At 35.0% G+C, this 16,413-nt stretch overlaps 1 protein-coding gene across 7 annotated transcripts in view, besides 1 other annotated feature; it reads left to right on the forward strand.

The window, feature by feature from the left end:
* Positions 1 to 16,413, forward strand: part of GRM7 (glutamate metabotropic receptor 7) — an 880,419-nt gene that overhangs the window by 412,096 nt on the left and 451,910 nt on the right. The window lies entirely within an intron of this gene.
* Positions 15,535 to 15,704: an enhancer, noted in NCBI's record as "experimental_71094 CRE fragment used in MPRA reporter constructs". NCBI's record gives its function as "activates a minimal promoter by MPRAs in K562 erythroleukemia cells, with activity observed for the non-introgressed 3:7330517 variant allele {active_cell/tissue: K562}" and the evidence as "EXISTENCE:reporter gene assay evidence [ECO:0000049][PMID:34662402]".

Below are 16,413 nucleotides of genomic sequence, written 5' to 3' on the forward strand. Positions count from 1 at the left end.
GACAGACATTGTATGATTTCTAATTTTAAAATAATGTGTTGAGATGTGTTTGTATGGCCCAAATATGATCTATTTTAGTTGAAGTCCTTTGTGAGCTTGAGAAGAATGTACATTTTGCTACTAACGAATAAAGTAGTCCACAGATGCCGATTCTATGTAGTTGACTGTTGGCATTGTTGAGTTCAACTATGTCCTCACTAATTTTCTGCCTGCTAAATATGTCCATTTCTAATAGACAGCTATTGAGATCTTCAACTATAATTGGGAATTTACCTATCTCTACTTGTAGTTTTATCATTTTTTGCCTCACATAGATTGATACTCTGTTATTAGGTACATACACATTATGTATTGTTATGTCTTTATGGAGAGCTGATTCCTGTATCATGAAATACCCTTTTTGTCCTTGATAACTTTCCTTGCTCTGAAGTCTTTTCTGTCTTGAGATTAATATAGCTACTTCTTTTCTTTTGATTAGTGTTAGTATGGTATATCTTTCTTCATGGACTTTTTAATCTATACGAGTCTTTAAAGTGGGTTTTGTGTGTTTGTGTGTGTGTGCTTGTGTACAACATATAGTTGAATCTTGTTTTTGATCCATTCTGACAACCTCTGGCTTTTAGTTGGTACACTTAGACCATTGATGTTTAAAGTGAATATTTATATAGTTGGAGTAATAGCTGCCATGCTTGCCACTGTTTTTTATTTGTTGCCCTTGTTTTTTATTCCTATTTTTATCTTCTTTTTTTGTCTTTTGTGGCTTTAATGGAACATTTTATATGATTCAATTTTCTTTATTAGTATATTGATTATATTATTTTTGCCTTTTACTTGGTTTTGGTCATTGCCCTAGAATTTTCAAAATACATTTTCAACTAGTCCAAGTTGATTTTCAAATAACACTATTACTATCAATATTTCTTCATAGGTAGTGCAAGTACCTCATAGTATCAAAATAATTCTAATTCCTTCTTCTAGTCCCTTGTATCATTGTTGTCATTCATTTTACTTATACACAAGCATAAATAAACATTTGAATACATTGTTGCTATTATTTTGAACTGTCATCTGTTAGATCAATAAAGAATAAGAAAAATAAAAGTTTTTATTTTACCTTCACTTTTAGTCCTTCTCCAGTGATCTTTTTTCCTCCATGTAGATATGAGTTTCTGACCTATATCACCTTTCTTCTCTCTAAAAAAACTTTTAACATTTTTTACAAGGCAGGCCTACTGGAAATAAATTCCCTTAGTTTATTTTTATCTGAGAAAGTCTTCATTTGCCCTTCACTTTTGAAGAGTAATTTTACAGGTTATGAAATTCTAGGTTGATGGTTGATGTTTTATTTTTGTTTTTATCTCAACAAATTAAGTATTTAACTCCATGTTCTTCTTGCTTATATGGTTTCTGAGGAGAGATTGTCTGTAATTCTTATCATTATTTCTCTACAGGTACACTGTTTTTCACCCATGGATTCTTTCATAATTTACTATTTATTTTTAATTTTCTGTAGTTTGAAAATCGTATGTTTAGTTGTAGTTTTGTTGTTGTTGTTGTTTTGTATTGTCATTTTTTCTGGTTGGTGTTTAAGCTTCCTGAATCTGTGGTTTTGTGTCTGATATTAAATTGAGGAAATTCTCAATAATTATATATTGTTTCAAATATTTCTTGTGTTCCTGTTTCTCTTTCTTCTCCTTCTGGTATTTGCATTATGTGTATATCATATCTACTGTAGTTTTCCTGTGATTCCTGGATATTCTATTTTGCTCTTCTCAGTCTATTTTTTCTGTTTGCTTTTCCATTTTGGAAGTCTCTATTGAGATATGCTTACGCTCAAATATTCTTTCCTCAGCCACTTCCAGTCTACTAGTGAGCCCATCAAAGGTATTCTTCATATCTAATATAGTGTTTTTGATCTTTAGCATAAAAATTCTTAAAATTCCCATCTCTCTATTTATATTACCCATCTGTTATATATGCTGTTTACCTTATCCATTAGCACCTTCAGTTAATTATAGCTGTTTTAAATACGTGCTTCAATAATTCCAACATCAATGAAATACCTGAGTCTGGTTCTGATAGTCACTCTGTGTCTTCAGACTGTGTTTTCTGCTTTTCAGTTTGTCTTATAATTCTTTCTCCTGATAGCTAGGCATGATGTACCTGCTAAGAGAAACAGCTGTAAATAGGCCTTTACTAATATGTTGGTAAGGTGTGAGGGGAGGGAAAGAATTTTATAATCCTATGATTATGTCTCAGTTTTTCAGGAAGCCTGTGCCTCTGCACTGTGAACTTCATGCATACCTCTCCATTATCTCCTGCCCTTCCTCATTAAGTAGAAGATGACTAGCCTGAGCTACAGTTGGGTATTTCCCAAGGCTAGAGCTGGCGGTAGTTGGGGATTTTCCTTCCCCAACTAGGTGAGGTAGGTTCTAATAAAACCCCGGCAAGTTAGGTTCTGTTTAGCTAGTTTCTTCTGAGAATAGATTTAAGAGTAACAGAATGCTCTAGTGGTATTTCCAAATGGTTCCTTTCCCCCACTCCCAGATGGAGACATGAGGGGATTTTTCTCACATATATTCACTGTAAGAACCAAACAGAGCTCCAGAAGGTAAAACCCACAAAGGTAGGGGCTGTGTGGGCATATAGCAAGGCCCCCCTGAGTGTCTGTCTCTCAGATTTATCCACACTGACCCTCCAGCAATTCAGTAATTACACTTCAGGTTTTCCTATCCCAGCATTGATTCCCTCAGAAGGTTTAGCTCATGAGTTTTTGCTCTGGTAAGCTGTGATTCTCTGTATTCACCTGTTGGTCCCTCCATGTTAGGGGCAGCAGTTTGTCCCATGACCTTACTTCTTTATGGATCTAAAAAGAGCTGTTGGTATTTCATTATTCTTTTTTGTTTCAGTTTATAACTTGTTATTAGGATAGAATGAATGCTGGAGAAGAAATCAGAAAACTTAACCATTATTTTTTAAATTATATATATATATATATGTGTGTGTGTGTGTGTGTGTGTGTGTGTGTGTGTGTGTGTGTATATATAATTGTCCTCTCAATGTAGAAACATTGCTTTGATCTAAGGTAAAATGAATGTTTTGATTTTAGTATTCCAAAGTCATGAATTCCATCCCCAATCTAGTTAATTGCAAAAGGCTAATTTGTTTTCTTTATCCCTTGATACCCTGATAAAATATGCAGCGGCCACTTAAAGAAGCATTGCATGGCGATCCTCCCTACCCCAGGAACTCTGTAAGGTACAAATTAGGAATTATTCTTCAGTTTACTTTCATTTCTAGCCTAGGATTTAGTACTATAGCATGCTTCATGATCTTAGATGAAAATGGCGGTGGTGTCGATGACTAATATAAAAACTAAGGGATATACTTTTAAAATCCTAATTGTGAGGTTCCTTTTGGGTTATTTTTCAGATGATCCCAAACCAAGAATGATGTCAGATGATTACTAACTCATGTTTTCACCTAAGTGAAATATAGCCTTAGCATTTAGGGATCAGCAACTCCTGTTTCTTTCTGTTTCTTTCTCTCTTTCTCCCTTCCTTCCTTCCTTCCTTCCTTCCTTCCTTCCTTCCTTTTTGGTGGTGGCATGTTGTTGTACAGTAAGACATATTAGTCTTATTATGACCACATGCCAATAAGACATATTAGTTGTTACTACTATCATTTTGCTTAACAAAAGTTGATTTGTTGTGAAAGTCCAAGTGTTTTCCACCTTAGAGTCAGATACAGCATTGAGGGTTGGTTGGTTGTTTTCAACTTGAACCAGTTAAAAGCAGTGTTGTAGCTGGTAGTTAATCCAGTCAAAGCAAGTGTTCTATTCATCACATGATGGAACTATTGCACATAGCCACCATTTAAATGGTTTCAGCATGGAAGAATTTGGAGATACGTGGGAACTCATCTCTGATCTACTTTGCCCTGGAGTCCAATTTTAACCTCAGATTGCTTTCTCACAAAGACTTTATCCTTTCACACTTAACTGGGTAAGTTATTTCTAGACTGTTGAATTTCATGGACCAAAAAACCTTTGAAGAAAATGAAAATATATAGACTAACGTAAGATTAATAATGCTTTTTTTTTAACCAAGTAAGACAATTTTTGGAAAAATCAATTTTATCCTCATTATTTCATAAAAGGGAACTGTCACTTAATGGTCAAATTTTATCAAGATGTCCATTTTGAACCAATCAGAAGTGGCATGGGGTACAGCTTCAGATGATATAAATCTGGTTGTTTGGAGCTACCACTTTTTTATCACTGCTCAGATAAATGAAAGAAAACATGTTATTAAATTAATAACTGTGCAGTATACCCACGTTTTTAAAAAGATGTCATTGTTTTATTAATTCATGTTGTTATCCTTAAGAGCAAAGACCATCCTATTTCCTTTCTTACACATTTTCTTCTTTTTAATTTGTTCATTCTCATGGAGCTACCTTAAGAAGAAACAGTTGTTCCTGTACATTTTGAATTTTTTTTGCATTGTCTGTATTTGTACAGGTTGTTTTTGGATTACGGTATGTTAAAATGGAAATGAAAGATAGAGAATAAAGTGAAGACAAAGGAAAAATAAACAGGAAAGTGTACTATGTCATGTTTAACATCTTTTATAGCTATTAGCTAAGAAAGATATTTGTTTTACCTATTTATATTTTGAATATATTTCTTCCTTAGGCCACTATGAGACTAAGTAATAATTGATAATTTTTGAAGATGTTAAGAATTCTGAAGTCATACATTATTGCTGAGAACAAATACTGAATTGATATGCTCTCTTTTCAATATTTGCTTTCCCATTGCGGTTGAATATTATATTAATTCTTATTTTAAGTCTACAGTAGCATTTCTTCTATTTTATAGGGAGTTTGATTTAGTTAGCATAATAAAAATACTCTTAGCTGTGATAAGATGCACAAAGACTTTACCTAAGATATACTCAAAACTATAAAGACATGTTTAATAGAAGATGCCTTGAAGCAATTTCTGAACTCAAAAATCTTAATTTATTAAGCATTAGTATTGGGTCCTAAGTTTTATTTTGTCCTTGAGTTTAATTTTATCATTGTTAAATTGAATCTAATATAAAAATAAAAAATTAAGAAAACCCAAACTCTAGAATCTGTTTCATTTGAGCAAATCACTGCTCAGATAAATGAAAGAAAACATGTTATTAAATTAATAACTGTGCAGTATGCCCACGTTTTTAAAAAGATGTCATTGTTTTATTAATTCATGTTCTTATCCTTAAGAGCAAAGACTATCTTGTTTCCTTTCTTGTACATTTTCTTCTTTTTAATTTATTCATTCATTATTTAATTGATAGGTGTTTCAATTGATTCATATATTCATTGATCTAAAAAATCTATATTGAGCATCTGTTTATACTTGGTATTTACCTTGTGTTAAGGCAATAATCATGCATAAGATGTGATTCTTAGAATCGGGTACTCAATGTCAAGAAGACAAGCATATGAGCAAGTTCAGAAATTATGATAAGAACCATGATCAAGTATAGGAGTGAATCTGCAACAACATTAAAAGACCTGAGTTCTAACACTGCTTGGAATACAGAGACTTCTCAGGTCTTCACTGAATGGATAGATACAAACTAAGTAATTTGAAAGCAGAGAAGAAACATCAAACACAATCATCATTTAGCTTTTTGGTAGGTTGGAGATTATAAATTTAAATGTTATTGAAATCTTATTGCTTTGTTCTCAAGGGAAAACAGTGACAGGTCCAATATAGATGATTTCTGTAATTCCTTTTCAACCTTGAGAATTTATGACTCTAATATCCACTTTGGTGTGAATATTGAATAAAATATAAGATAATGCTTTAGTTTTTCAACATAGATAAGAAAACGGTATATTACAGATTTACTCACAGTTGACATAAGGGCTGGGTTGATGTTCACCAAATACTGGAGTGATTTGTTAAGTAGAGGTATCAAAATCTTATTCTCTAAAAGCCTTAAAATCTAAGCAAACCTCCATTTATTTTACATAATAAAGGTGTGAACATGCGTGAATGCATTTCAACGTGGTGGGGGTAGAGTAATTTTGGCATGACAGTACTCCTCACATCTCCTCTCGCTTCATCCATAATTCCAAATATAGAAAGTCCAGATACCAATATCTGTTGAAAAGAATGTACAGAGAGGAAAAGATCTCTGTACAACTGATTGCATGAAGACTGGACATTTGACCAAACCATATGGAGCAGATGAGAACCTGAGCCAGTTAGCCATGGAGTCAGCTCTGAGAGTTGACACCACATCCACCAGTAGATGTGGGCAAACTGAAGTTATAAGGGAGCAGAATCCATGAGTAAGCAGAGGAAGTTCTCTGTGGATAGTAGAATTCAATAAATGTGTGCAGGTAAGCAGAGGCAAGACACCAAACAGCCCTACAATAAAAGAGTTGGTGAGGAGCTACCTGAGACCTTCATGCCTTCTCAGCTCTACTTCCATAAGACACAGCTGAACTCTGTTTCTATGCATTACATGCTCTTCAAGGACTCATATCTATTTGGTGTGTGTGCTTGTGGGCATGGTCTGTGTTTATGTCTGTGTGTGTGAGAAAGAGACACTTACAGTCATTGAAACCAAAAGAACTGCTATTCTGAAATGCCCGGCCAGTTATGGTTAAGATTTTTTCTGCTATGGTCATATTCAGCTATCTCCTGGTTTTGAAAACAGTAGCCTGTTCCCTTCCTTTCAAAACTTTGCCATGTGTGCTGGGTGTCAGGAAGGGAGACTGGTGACCACAGGAGAATCTTTCTTGCCAGTGTTATTTCCAGTGTCTGGATACATTACTATCAGAAACAGGCATATTTGCTTTGTTAAAATTAAAGTGAAATTACTGCTTAATTGAAAAGTCAGGGATATTTAGCATTTCATACCCTCATTAATCATAAAAAGGCCTTACCCCTTCTTTATTGTTTGGGGCAAACTTTAATTTATCTACATTAGCAAAACTCAGTAAAAGGTAGCATGTTGAGCTGGAATACCAGGACTAGATGGAAAGTCCTTGGTCTCTGAAAACAGTACACCTGAGTTAAAATATTACTTCTTGTCATACTTTTTGTGTGACATTTGGCATATCACGTTCCCTGGTAACAGTTTTCTCATTTGGTAAATGCAGTTTTCAACTTCTTAAAATTATGATGAGAAATGTGTCATAAAATTTTTAGAGCAAGTTCTGGAACCAGGATTGTGATTCAAATCCCAGCTCCTCTACTTATTAGCTGTGTGACCCTAGGCAACATATGCAGTGTATGTGATGACTTTGCACTTTAGCTAATGCATCTGTAAGACTGAAATCACAGTGCTACCTATTTCATAGGCTGTCACGGGAAGTAAATATCATTAAACATATAAAGCACTTGATACAAAGCCCAGTAGCGCTGGCATATAGTACAAGCTCAGAAAAGTGTTTGCAGTACGTGTTTACAATCATAAAGTGCTTTGTAAAATTCTATAGCACTATACACGCGTGATCCTGTTTAAACAAAGTTTCTTGAGGCACAAAATGATATGTTTCGAGTTAATCCTCAAAGTGCTTACAATTGATAACTTGCTAATGGCTTATTCTGTAATTTCTATCTCCTTCTTTAAAGACCAGATAAGTAGAAATGGTGGCACTGAACAGGTATATGAAAAAGCTTTTATCATCATCCCGAGACTTTCAGGTCAGGAGAAATGCATGTGTTTCTAGGGATTTTAACTTGGCACCTTCCATGGACACTAAATTTACTCTGAAAAGAAAAAAAATAAAAAGTGTCTGTTCTTTCGTGCTGGCAGAGGTAGTCAGGAATGGTTCTCTTTGGTGCTCTCAAGTTTTCTTAAGCTCTTTCTCCTTCTCCAAGCAGGTAAGAAATAAGATAATTGATGAGGCTTTCTGATTCCATGCACTCGGGTATTTCTAAAATAAGTATGAAACGTAGGAAATAAAGTGTATGTTAAAATATCATTTGAAAGAGAGAACAAGGCAGAAATTTCCAGATTCTTTTTTTAAATATTGTATTTTATTCTATGTAAATCTATTTTTTTTGCAGTGCTAAAACAGGTATTTTATATGACTTTGTGATTACATTGAGAATATTTCATAAAACCTCCATTTGTGTTTCATATGTCTTCTGTCTTATTAGTGAGGGAGATTGTGCCTAAAATGTTAGAGTTGGAAGATCTCAATAAATTGTGAATTTTCCTTCTATCCCCTTTTCCCTAGAAATTTATCTGTGTCACATTGACAGATGAGACAATACTTGCTAATCTATTTCAATGATCATTTATCTGCAGCTAATCATTTTCCTTTTGTAACTTCATGGGATTCCTTTTACTACAGTTTTCCTAAGAAAGCAGATTTTTTTTTAAATATTCCCTTTAAATAAACATCAACAGTGATATATACTGTGGGGTGTTTCCCAAATGTTCCCTTTAAATTTTGTCATGCTCAATATAAACATCAGCCCTGCAGCATCAGGATCTTCTAAGAGGTTGTTAGAAATGTAAATTTCAGGTCCCACCCCAGACCTACTGAATCAGAGTCTGTACTTTAAAAATGGCGGGGCGCAGTGGCTCACGCCTGTAATCCTAGTACTTTGGGAGGCCAAGGCGGAAGGATTGCCTGAGTTCAGGAGTTCGAGACAAGCCTGGGCAACAGGGTGAAACCCCGTCCCTACTAAAATACAGAAGAAATTAGCCGGGCGTGGCAGCGTGAGGCTGTAGTCCCAGCTACTTGGGAGGCTGAGGCAGGATAATTGCTTGAACCCAAGAGACGGAGGTTGCAGTGAGCAGAGATTGCGCCACTGCACTCCAGCCTGGGCGACAGGATGAGACTCCATCTCTACGAAACAAACAAAAAACAGGTACCTACATAATTCCTATGCACATTACAATCTCAGAAATGCTATGTTAAAACATTAGAATCCCATGTTCTCCAAACTGTCAAGATGTATCTTGAAACAGCAGATTCACTTACAATCAATGGCTTAAAATAATACAGATGCATTATCTTACTATACTGGAGGTTAGAAGTCTAAAATATGCCTCAGTGGTCTAAAATCAACATGTCGGTGGGGTTACATTCCTCCTCGAAACTCTTGAGAATTATTTTCTTGCCTTTTCCAGATTGTAGAGGCTGCTGCCATGCCTTGGCTCATGGCTCTCGCCTATCCACAAACCTGGCAGTGCAGCATCTTCAAATCTGTCTCTCTGATTCTGACCCTCTTGCTTCTCTCTCACTTGTAATGACACTTGTCATCACTAGATCATCCAGAATACTCTCACATGTCAAAGTAGGGTGATTAGCAACCTTAATTTCATTTGCAACCTTATTTCCCCTTTGTCATGTAAGGTAACACACTTATAGATTCTGAGGAGTAAGGAGTGGGCATCATTAGGGTGCCATTATTCTGCCTACCACAAATAGGATCTGTGACTTAACAAATGTAGGTAATGTTGATTAGACCTAATTAAGATTGTGTTTTTTTTGCAGTGCTTCTCAAAATGTTTAATATATTAAAGCTGTATTATGAAACATCTGCAGTGATATATACCGTGGGATGTTCCCCAAATGTGTTAGATTGCAGTACCCTTTTATTAAGATCTCCCAGAAGAGAGGAACTCATTTGAAAAATGTGGACCAGAGGAATTTACATTTATCCTTTCCATTCTATCCAAGGATTAACCAACAGTGGAGCCCTCGGCTTCGAGATTTAGGACTAAGTTTTTATCACTGGGCCTAATAGTAAGTAACTTTAATTTAGGCAGATGAGATTACTCTTCTATTTCAGTTCTGCTTGGTTTATTGGGAAACCTATTTTCACATCTTGAGTCTACTGCTTGCTAGTGACATGACCTCGATTTTAATCTCTCTAACATTAGTTTCGAAGTTCTGAGTTGTAGGGAATGGTGAAGACCATGGGTCTAGAGTCAGACAGTCTAGGTTAGAATGCTGGCACTGGACACTTCCCAGCTGTGTGACTCAGAGAGAAAGGTATTTAACCTCCTCGTGCTTGGGTTTTCTCATCCTTAAAATGAAGGCAAGAGTAGTTTCAACCTTGTAAACATTTTTGTGAGTTTAAGTTAGATAATGCGTATAAAGTAGCTGATGCAAAGCCTGGCATGCTAAATGCTCATTAAAGGTTTTGATTGAGGTTGCTGTTATTATTATTATTATTATTAAAAATAACTGCAAGTACCAAAGTTCCGTTCAGACACACAAATAGTATAAAAAGATAAGACCTCTCATGGGAATGTTGATTTAATGGATATGAAAGACTGCTTTTGAAATAGACACTAAACAATTGAAAGAATTATAAGTTAAGATTTTCCGTTCAATGTAAACCAAGGAGAAAGATTTGGAGGGGGTTTTGATTGGATAAAGAAGAGTTGAATTTAAAGACTTTGGAGGCATTATACAGCACAAAAATACTTTCATCAAGAATATCATTTCAGAGGAATCACTACACAATTATTTCCTACTTGAGCCAAATCATTGAAAAATTCTTTGAAGTTCTACACATGGACTTTACGGGCAGTTAAAAAATTCACAAAGAAGAATTATTGACATACATAAAACACTTAAGCAGGCATTTAAAAAGAAAATAAATGGGGTTTCTGGCCCGACATTTTATTTTAAAATTCTAATAAATCCAATTTCATTTGAAAGCTGATTCAAACAACATATATGTCAAACCAATTCAGAAGATTAGGTGTTTTAATTAAAAGTGCTGTCTATAACTTTGCAAAGTGACAGTTCAAATATAACTGGAACAGCAGTGTCAATATCTTTACTGAGAGAGGAAAACATCATCAAGAATCTTAATTTGTCTCAATTGCAGCCTAATAACTCAATTAAATTGTGATAGAAAAATAAGGTTTGAAGGAAATTGAGAGAAACACACTAATTTTTCAGATTTAATTAGCTAAGTAGAAATCACAATACTCATAATCACAGATACATGTGTAGTTACAAATGCTGATTACCAAAGTACCAGAGTGTTTGGCTTCAGGAGTTAGGGGTGTGTGGGGTGTGCATGCTCACTCGTGTGTGTGTGTGTGTGTGTGTGTGTGTATATACATGAGCTCTCTTGGATCTGCACACTAGTACAGACAATCAATACTAACAATCAAGATAAATAGATCAATTCAAAATGTCAACAGAATATCACATAATGAATAGGATGAAATATGTCATCTGCTATGAATGGAGAGATCTATTAATAGTTTGGGAAATTTAGATGGGATGAATTATAAATTTATCTTGCCTCTTTATCGCAATGTAGATTTAATCAACATTCAGTAGAGCACTGGGTAAGAAACCTAAGGCTAAATTTTCATTCTCTGATTCGGGTTTACTCCAAGCCATGACTATTGTTATATTTTGTTTATCATGAGGGAGTTAAATATTTTTATTTTATTATTAAAACTAGTTTTGAAATTAGGCTTAATTTATCTACTGCTTGGTCTTGGGCAAATCATTTTTCACTTTCCTATGTTCATTTATATAACAAAACTATTGTTTACTTAGGGGCATACTATGAACTAAAGTCATTTTATATCACCTCCCCCCTCTATATTACAAAAGTATTTTCAATAATAATCATGAAATGAAACATTTTGGAGTTCTCTGAGTTCACTTCCCTATAAAATATAATGCTTATTAAAGGATACCCAATAAAAATGATGCTAATTTGAAGCTTATGCATATATTACTAAAACTTAATAGTTACTGCAGCAGTTATTTAGAACTTATATTAGAAATGAGCAAACTTTGACCAGCAGGTTACATTTGTCCAGCTGCTTATCATTGTAAATTTTATTTTTTTGAAATGACCATTTGCTTCTGTGTTGTCAAGGGCAGTTGGCAGATTTGGGCTACAACAGAGTTCAGTAGCTGTGAAAGAGCCCATAGACTGCAAAGTCTCAAATATTCACTACCTACCACTTTACAGAAAAAGTTTGCTGACTCCTAACTTAGACCAACAAAAGATTTTTAGAAGAATAGTATTTTTTCCCTGATGTTGTTTAGAATTATTATTATATGATTAAGATAAAAGGCAGATGGCTTTTAGTTATTTCTTTTTAAAACCCCCTACAGACAGTGCACCGTTTATTGCCTGATCATTCTAACCACCTCCATCCCAGTGTGTCTCCAATCAAACCTGTGTTGTTATCGTGTGTTTTATTGAATGAAGATCATACATGACAATCAAATAGGGCCTAATACGTAGTAAACCTCCCAAATTAGTGTGCCTTCTCTTTTGAGAGCGCAAAATGATAAATTATAAGGGGTGGTTGTCCAAAAAGTACAGGTAACAGAGGAACTCCAGACTGGGGATAAAATGTTGCATGTTACAGTGTATGTAGACTCTCAACATCCATAGAAACTCTTCTATTCCTTGAGGGCCAGGCCAGAATGTGTGCGTTCTAGGATGCCTCTACCTACCAAATAGTTTTTTGCCCTCTTGGTGGCACTGTGATGCCAATTGTCTATTGGTAAGTAACCTCTAACCTTGATCTGAGAGGAAAAGAAGGTTCTTGGTTCTTTATGCCTTTCCACTGTTCTACTTATCATATTTATTTATGATTTTTTTCCTTCTAATTTATCTCTTAATTTCTGAAGCCCAACGTGATTTTAATGTGAGTGGATAGAGTTTTTGGAGCTTAAGTTCATGGGGCATCATTAGCAGATAATGTGGGTTGAGTCCACACACCACATATGAATATAGCAAATCACTTTAAATCTGGATGATTGTGTGCATTCCTTTGATTTCTTTAACTCACAGCATTGTCAAATAGGTAGCAACCCAGCTATGATCCTAGTCTCTAATTAAGATATTTGAATGAGAAGAAACCTGTACTTTCCCCTCATGGGAAGGAAATTTGCCAGAGCTAGCTTAATGCTCAAAACTCATAATCATAAAGGTGATTGCTTAGTGTAACCTAAATTAAAACCCATATTCATTGTTACAAGATTACATGTTTTTCTTAATATTTTGCATTAAACATTTAACATACAGTTTTGAGGAATTACATTTCAAAATGTAATTTGGTATTTGTCGGGCCAGTTGGTAAACCTGAGCTTCATGTAATTTCTGACTTGTTATACTCTGGAGAGAAATTATATGATATCCACAAATATTCACCTCTCACATTCTTTTCTTGTGGGTATTGCTCTGATGCTAATGTGAAATGCTGTTTATCAGGAGCAAATGATTTGCGGATTCAGCTACTTCAAAAGCTTTGGTTTTATTTTTATGCATAGAACATAGCCTTCTCATTAATTTTTATTTCATTTACTAAATTTCAATAACCCTTTGAATATGTAATGACAGAGGTGAAAATAATGTCTTATCCTCCCTTATTCTTTCTTTCTGAATTTTTTTGTGACCCCAAACATAAGGCCTTAAAAACTGGTCATGTTTTATTCAATCACTTGTGTCTCTTTCTAGAATTTAAGGATCTCTGCATGCATGTCTCTTCCTCTCTTCTTTCAAGACTGTTGCAAATGGTTGATCAAATTTATATTGAGGTCATTAAAGGTATGATTTTATTTATTCCTCTTTTGAGTACACTCTGTTTTGGAGAATGAAAAATCTTTCATGTCTATTATCAAAACACAATATCATTGAATATGCCACAAAAGACAAATATATTTGCAAATCCTGTGGCAAAAATAATGTTACATTGGCTTAAAATGAACAGTTAGCATCATCTTAGATAGGACTTTGGCTTTATCAGGCACAGTTTGGGGTAAATTACTTGGGCGATGGCTGGAGCTGAATCTGTTTCCTGATTCCTGGACAGAAAAATTGCTCCCCTTCCACCCCCAAAAACTGGCATGGTTGATCCCATAGATAGAGATAAAGAAAGCTATTTTCAGAATAATTCTGCCAGTAAGCTCACATCTATTTTGCAAATAAGTATACTAACGTCATCTGGAGATATTTACTGCAGAAAAATCTTTCAAACTCTCAGGTGTGATCTAAGAACCTAAGTATTGAATTCTTAAGCTTGGTAGCCCCTTTTGTGACTTGACTTCTGTTGGAATTCTCTAAAGAAAACAGAAAGAGGATGAGCAAGACTTCAAGAGAAGGCCAGTAAATTGGAAGCTGGAGAAATCTGCTTCAAATGTCTTGTTTTATCTCATACGCTTAGAAAACTCAATGAACTCTTTGCCCTCTATTGTTAACAACTCAGTCGATCTTCTGGGACTTGGGAAGCATTTACCCAAAGTCATCTGCTTTGATCCCAGAGGTGAAGAATGTGATGTTAACTAGCATCTTTGTTTACCTGTTGTACTTAAGAAGCATAGCTGATAAAAGTCTTAAATATTTCACTCCTGAGTAAGAAGGGGAATAATTTTCTCTGGACTTTCTGAAAAATGATGAGAGTGACACATTTTTTTAAGCCACTAAAAGCTGGATTTATTTGTTTCCACTTATTTGCGTTGGGACATACATACCGATAAATAGCAAGGTTTCCTTAACAATGATAAATCTCAAATTTAAAAAAAAATTGCTCTAATTGATAGGTGTACTCTTTCAAGTCTTAAGAGAGGTAATAGTTTGCTGCGGGACTAATGTATCTTAGCAGAGACACTAAAGGTAAGAGGAAAAAGAGCTGCAGATAAAGATGCTGAAAAATAGCACAATTCTTAAAGCTCAATTTATCATTTAGCATGCAGAGGTCCCTAATTCAATGAAGACTAATCAGGTTTTATAACTCTAATTTTGATATCTAATGTGGCAAGCTGTTATCCAAATTGATATTATAATCATATGACAGTAATGTTTTCTTTATATTTATTTACAAAGTTAAATTCTGTGTATTTAAACATTACATTTACCATACGTAACAAGACTAGAGATCTGAATATATGTTATGCCCATTCCTACTGACAGGATGAAGACTCAATCCTTCTCCTTTAAGGATATACAAAGGAAGATGTATTTGTTTCACTGGATGAGTTGGGGTAAAATATCTGGCACTAATTCACCACATGAAAAGATGCTATTACAAAGGAGTTAAATTTTTTTTTTACCATTTAGATGACTTTGATAGCCTAGAATACCACACTGGAGTTACAAGCTTTCCGTTTATTCTGTTTTATTGACTCATTGATAGGAATGTGATGCAGGAAAGAGCGAGGGGTAGGAAGTGAAGGAAATCATATCAGAATTTATAAGAACTGGTAGGAACCTAGCTCTAGATGAGGGTCATGTTTCTCAATTTTTGCCCTGGTCCTGCGTTTGGCTCTGTAGCATTGGACAAATCTGTGTTCCAAGCTCCAGTCTTCTCATCCGTAAAGTGGACCCATACCCCCACTTCTGTCTATCTCTGGCATTACGTGGCAGTGTTCAAATAAGAATGGAGGCATTAAAAATGCTTTGGAACCAATAAAAGCAGTTATTATTGGGGAGAGATGTGACTTTAGTGAAAGAAGCAATGAAGAATGACACAAGTACTTATTAAATTATTAATGGAAAGTAGTAGTATATAGATGATTTTTAAAACTACTGTGGTATAGTACTGTAAGAAATGTACACACCAGTTACTAGATAATTCACAAAGGTCTGATAATATCCCGAGAACCACTGTCTTAGAAGTGTAATGAAATAGCGTATATATATGCCTGCTCTAAAATCCCACTGATTTGAAGTTTTCTGGATGGATCCCACATGGACATGTTATCCTATCATCCTCTAATTTTCATGACTTAAAATGAATGATAAAAATGCCTGCTTTTTTCCCCATATACATGCAGGTAAGACTGAAGAAATGAGAACCGTCACTTGTAAATACCTGCCATGTTTTAACCTCATGAATTGACCTCCTTTTTATTGTCCAAGGATGCACAGTGGGACATTTTTACAGAGAATCTGCTTGGAGACCAGTGACAATTGATTCTGACTGCCAAGCCTGTTCAAATCACAGGGAAAACCAGTGACTGTAAAATTCAACCAATTTTTAGTTCTTGTTCAGGGAAAGGAACAGCTTGCTTTGCAAAGACTTCTTGAATTAGAGCACAAACTTGAGTAACCAGCTCATGACCTGCCAAGATACCAGCTGTTGAAAAGAACGTGATGTTTCTTATTGGGATTTTGTTTGTCATCTAAGCTTAGGTCATTTGCAGAGGTCATTGTAGTCTTGAAAGGGAATTAAAAAGAAAAGTAAACTGGTTCAACCATTGTGGAAAACAGTGTGGTGATTCCTCAGGAATCTAGAACTAGAAATACCATTTGACCCAGCCATCCCATTACTGGGTATATACCCAAAGGATTATAAATCATGCTGCTATAAAGACACATGCACATATATGTTTATTGCGGCACTATTCACAACAACAAAGACTTGGAACCAACCCAAATGTCCATCAATG

This window comes from Homo sapiens, chromosome 3 (assembly GCF_000001405.40).
Source record: "Homo sapiens chromosome 3, GRCh38.p14 Primary Assembly".
Classification (NCBI taxonomy): domain Eukaryota; kingdom Metazoa; phylum Chordata; class Mammalia; order Primates; family Hominidae; genus Homo; species Homo sapiens.